The 5,755-nt window shown below is 45.1% G+C and overlaps 1 annotated feature.

Annotated features, from left to right (window-relative positions):
• Nucleotides 1,675–2,268: an enhancer, noted in NCBI's record as "OCT4-NANOG hESC enhancer chr10:27754098-27754691 (GRCh37/hg19 assembly coordinates)". NCBI's record gives its function as "activates a minimal SCP1, AML or CMV promoter by ChIP-STARR-seq in naive H9 embryonic stem cells {active_cell/tissue: H9 hESC(naive)}" and the evidence as "EXISTENCE:reporter gene assay evidence [ECO:0000049][PMID:30033119]".

The following is a 5,755-nucleotide window of genomic DNA, read 5'->3' as shown; positions in this document are numbered from 1 at the left end:
CTGGCCTTTCTGGGTCTAGGGCAGTATAGCGTCTAAAGGTTGCTGCTAAGCAGGCCATGAACTGGGCTGGGTTTTCGTCTTTACCTTGGGTAGTTTCTTTAAGCTTGTCATAATTAACAGCTTTGTAAGCTGCCTTTTTAAGCCCTTCAACTAGGCAGGAAATCATGTAATCTCGCCTAGCTGTACCTGGGGAATCTGCCTGATAGTTCCACTGGGGATCCTCTCGGGGAACTGCTCTAACGCCTTCCTGGAGGTCTGGCTCGTGAAGCCGGTTGTTATCAGCGTGAGATTGGGCTAGAGAAAAAACTCTTTCCCGTTCATCTGGGGAGAGGGTAGAAGTCAGGATGACATTTAAGTCACTCCAGGTTAAATTGCAGGACAGAGTTAGATATTGGAATTATTGTATACATTTAGTGGGGTCTGATGAGAAAGAGCCTAAATGCTGACTGATCCGAGAGAGGTCTGATAGAGAAAAAGGTACATGTACCCTGACTATGCCTTCAGCTCCAGCCACCTCTCTAAGAGGAAATTGTTGGGCAGGTGGGGAGGAGCTAGTCGCAGAACTAAACTGTAAGCCGGACCGGGTGTGAGGAGGGGGGGTGGTAGAAGGATTATAGGACAGAGGAGCGGAGGCTGAGGAAGAATTGGGACTTAGCTTGGCCTGGCGACGAGCAGCCTGGGGAGGAGGGGAGAGGTCAGATGGGTCTGTAGATAAGGAAGACTGGAAAGACTCAGCGACGCTTGGGGTTGGGACTGAGGGGACAGGCGGGAGGGAAAGGAGGAGGATTTGGGAGGAATCGCATTGGGAGCAGAGACTAGGGAGGGAATGAAGTGTGAAAAAATGCCTGGATGTAAGGCACCATTTGCCCATTTTTTGACAAAAATTATTTAGGTCTTGTAGGATGGAGAAATCAAAAGTGCCATTTTCCGGCCATTTAGAGCCATTGTCAAGTTTGTATTGGGGCCAAGCGGTGTTGCAGAAGAAAATAAGACACTTAGATTTCAGGTCAGGCAGGAGTTGAAGAGGTTTTGAGTTCTTAAGAACACAGGCAAAGGGAGAAGAAGGAGGAATGGAGGGTGGAAGGTTTGCCCATAGTGAAGGAGGCAAGTTTAAAGAGAAGGGTAGAGACATGGAAAAGGGGGTGGGGAGCAGCCCTGGGCTGCAACGTGGGTGAGCAGCCAAAGCAGGCGTCCCCGCGATTGACTTGCCACCAAGGGAATGTGGGTGAATGATCAAGGTAGGCGTCCCCGTGGAGATCAGACACCAATCGAATGTGGGTGAATAATCAGAGAGGTGTCCCCACAATGATTAAACACCATGGGAAGGCTGGCTTCCCAAGTTCATGACCGGCACTGGAGTTTTGGGTCCACGGATAAAATGTGTCTCCTTTGTCTCTACCAGAAAATGAAAAGAATTGAAATTAAGAGAAGGGAGAGGTTGAAGTGTGGAGCCAAGATTGAAAGGAGAAAGAGGTTGAGGGATAGTGAGGGAGGTTGGAGAAGAGAGTAAAAAGAGGCCACTTACCCGATTTGAAATTGGTGAGATGAGTTCCTTGGGCTGATCAGTCTAAGGACCCGAGGTCGTAGGTGGATCTTTCTCATGGAGCAAAGAACAGGAGGACAGCGGATTGATCTCCCAAGGGGAGGTCCCCCGATCTGAGTCACAGCACCAAATCTCATGCACGTCCGTGTGAAGAGACCACCAAACAGGCTTTGTGTGAGCAACAAGGCTGTTTATTTCACCTGGGTGCAGGCGGGCTGAGTCAGAAAAGAGAGTCAATGACGGGAGATAGGGGTGGGGCTGTTTTATAGGATTTGGGTAGGTAAAGGAAAATTACAGTCAAAGGGGGTTGTTCTCTGGCTGGCAGGGGTAGGGGTCACAAGGTGCTCAGTGGGGGAGCTTTTTGAGCCAGGATGAGACAGGAAAAGGAATTTTACAAGGTAATGTCATCAGTTAAGGCAAGGACCGGCCATTTTCACTTCTTTTGTGGTGGAATGTTATCAGTTAAGGCAGGAACAGGCCATTTTCACTTCTTTTGTGATTCTTCAGTTACTTCAGGCCATCTGGGCGTATAAGTGCAGGTCACAGGAGATGCTATGGCTTAGCTTAGGCTCAGAGGACTGACACTGAGGGCATGAAGATGTCACACATCTTTCCCCATTTCAAAAGGGAAACAGTGGTTTCCTTAATCTTTTGAAGAAAGAAGAAACTTCCTATTTCACCTCTAAGAGCAGAAAGTGGAACAGATGACAAGCTGTTTGTGAAGGATGCGAATATCTTCATGTCAACAGGAAACCCAGGGCCCCTGTGTAACTCTGAAAAGAAGAAAGGTGCCTTCTACTCCTGATTAAGTCAGGTTCATCCGAAATAGAGGAACTGGGCATTTCTTGGTGGCTGGATAATCTTCTTTTTCTCTAGGTGCCATCCTGGGGAAATGGATTATTAAATAATCTATCTACCGCTTCTCAATACCTAAGACACTTGAAGGAGAGTTAAGTCAATTTACCTCACAAAAGGGAAAACCAGACCAGAGAGTTCTTTTCACCATATTTTGTGGGTTTCTGAAAATAGCATTACAAAGACTACAACCTCACTTAAAATTTCAAACAGCATAGGATTAAAATTTAGACATCTCCTAATTCTATATTATCCATTTCACTCCTAAAGGGCAAATACTGTTTGCAGTTTGGGGTGAAACCTACTAGACATTTTCTATGTACACACACACACAATGATTTCCTCCATTCTGTGATGCCATTGAATGTAAAGCCCAGGAGTGAACTGGTGCCACTCCTCAAGTCTACTGTCCCCTCCCATTGCGTCCTCTCCCATTGCACCCCAAGTGTAGGCACAGCCCAATCCCTTTCTCCACAGCAAGACTGATCAAGTAAGTGATGGTTTGCATAGTGATACTGGTATTTTTGAGGGATAACTGGCAGGAATTACATCACAGAAAGTGAAACCAGATTATTGCTCTGGAACTGGACAGCCTAGGTTCGTATCCCAGCTTTTCTACTCACTAATGGCCTGACTTTGAGAAAACTACTGAAGTGTCTCAATTTTCTCATTTGTGAAATGAAGATAATAATGGTACCTGCCATATAGGGTTGTTCACAGAATTCTATTACATACATGAGAAGAGCTTATAGCCCTGCTGGGCAAGAATGAGTGCTTGGCAAATGTTACATTTGTTTTACTCTTCCAAAAATCCACGCATTATACCATAAGGATGGGGTCAGCAAACATTTTCAGTAAAGGGTCACACAGTTAATATTTTAGGCTTTGGAAGCCATATGGTCTCTGTCAAACTCTTCAACTCTGCACAGGGGAAAACAGCCCTAGACAATACGTAAGTGCAGGGGTCTGGCACTTTCCAATAAAGCTTTACTTATGGACACTAACATTTGAATTTCATATAATGTTCCCAAGTCATGAAATATTCTTTTTCAAACATTTCTCAACTATTTTATGTAAAAACCATTCTTCACTCCTAGGCCGTGCAAAATCAGGCAGTGGGCTGGATTTGGCCTACAAGCTGTAGTTTGCCAACAAATCCCCCCACTACCATCACAGGTGTCCCCACCTGGCCACTTCTGCACCCTCTCTTCTCCAGGTCCCCATCTCCCTGTTTTTGCTCATCTTTCCTCTATAGGAGAAAGCAAAACTCAGTAACCACCTTTTTACTCAAGAAGAGCCCTTTCCCATTAGGACACATGTAGCATGGTCCCTCTGTCTCAGGCTCTACACTCCAGGTTGAGCTCTGCCCTCACCTTTGCAAACTAGAGGGACCGGGGAAAATGGTCACGTGTATTGTAGGAAGCAGCTCACCTTCTGTTGGGAACATATATTTTGGCTGCATAGCAGTCAACTGCTTGAGTCCACCAACTTCTTTAACTTGTCCCTTTGTAATTCAACCCCATGTTTAAACTGTAATCCCCAGTATTGGAGGTGCAGGCTGGTGGGAGATGATGGGATCGTCGGGCTGGATTTCTCATGAATGGCTTAGCATCATCCCCTTGGTGCTGTCCTTGCCACAGTGAGTGACTTCCCGCAAGATCTGACTGTTTAAAAGGATGGCATCTCTCTCTCTCTGTCTCACACCTGTTCCCACCATGTGAGATGCCTGCTTCCCCTTCACCTTCTACCACAATTGTAAGCTTCATGAGGACTCCCCAGAAGCACACGCTGTGTTATGCTTCCTGTACAGCCTGTGGAACCATAGGCCAATTAAACCTCTTTTCTTTATAAATTATCCAGTCTCAGGTATTTCTTTATAGCAATGCACAAACCAGCCTAATACAGTAATGAATGTCTATATTACATTGTTTTCAGGTTTCAGGTTTGCACTATTACAAAGAATGATGAAAGAACTCTATGAGAGGGGAACAATTAGATCCCATTTTACAGATGAAGGAATGGAGGCACAGAAACTTTGAAGTAATTTGGCTAATCTCACACATGGTTATGACAGAAACTGCTATGACCCCACTTCCTGGATACAACTGACTGACCTCCAAGAGTGGTCCCCTGAGCCAAGATGTTGTTACGGTAGTAATTCATTTCCTTGCATCAGTTGACTGGTCTTTAAGCAGGCACATGGTCCATGCTAAGCCAATCAGTGTCCTTTTCCTAGAATTTTACAACTGGACTTGTGAAACGCTTAACGATTCAAACTCCGGTCTCCTAGCAGACTTTTGGAGAAAAATTCACCTGTTTTCAAAAAGAAGGAAGCCAAGACAGGCAGAAAAACAAACAAACAAACAAACAGATAAACCATAAGAATCTTGTGGGCAAACAAGGCTTGGTTCCAGGTGTCCTTGAGGCCCAGCTATCCCCCACATCTTCCAGAAGCTACATTGTTTTATAAGAGTCCATAGTATATATTTAATAAATTACTGATATGGTTTGGCTCTGTGTCCCCACCCAAATCTCATCTTGAATTGTTATCTCCATAATCCCCACGTATCAAGGGCAGGACCAGGTGGAGGTAATTGGATCATGGGGATGGTTCTCCTGATAATGAGTGAGTCTCACGAGATCTGACGGTTTTATAATCTTCTAGCATTTCCCCTGCTTGCACTCACTCAGTCCTGCCACCCTGCAAAGGTGGTGCCTGCTTCTCCTTTGCCTTCTCCCATGATTGTAAGTTTCCTGAGGCCTCCCCAGCAATGCGGAACTGTGAGTCAACTAAAATGCTTTCCTTTATAAATCACCCAGTCTTAGGCAGTTCTTTACAGCAGTGTGAGAACGGACTAATAGAATTATTATTATTATTATTTTTTTTTTTTTTTTGAGACAGAGTCTCCCTCTGTCACTCAGGCTGGAGTGCAGAGGTGTGATCTCGGCTCACTGCAAGCTCCGCCTCCCGGCTTCATGCCATTCTCCTGCCTCAGCCTCCCAAGTAGCTGGGACTACAGGCGCCCGCCACCATGCTCAGCTAATTTTTTGTATTTTTTAGTAAAGACCAGGTTTCACTGTGTTAGCCAGGATGGTCTCGATCTCCTGACCTCGTGATCCACCAGCCTCGGCCTCCCAGAATTACTTTTTAAAGTGATTTTATTAAAAAAAAGATTTTCCTTCACTATACCCAAGAGAGTTCTAATTATTTTAAGTAAATTAATCAGCTGGTGGTACCGTAAACATAAGAAGACAGCCATCAGGATAAGGACTATTTCTCTGAAGGCCACTGAAAGTTTAATAGGTTTGTAAACAAAATAAATTCCTAAGCCCCCACCAACTGACTAAATGGATTCC

This window comes from Homo sapiens, chromosome 10 (assembly GCF_000001405.40).
Source record: "Homo sapiens chromosome 10, GRCh38.p14 Primary Assembly".
Lineage (NCBI taxonomy): Eukaryota > Metazoa > Chordata > Mammalia > Primates > Hominidae > Homo > Homo sapiens.
This window is presented reverse-complemented; position numbering and strand designations above follow the sequence as displayed.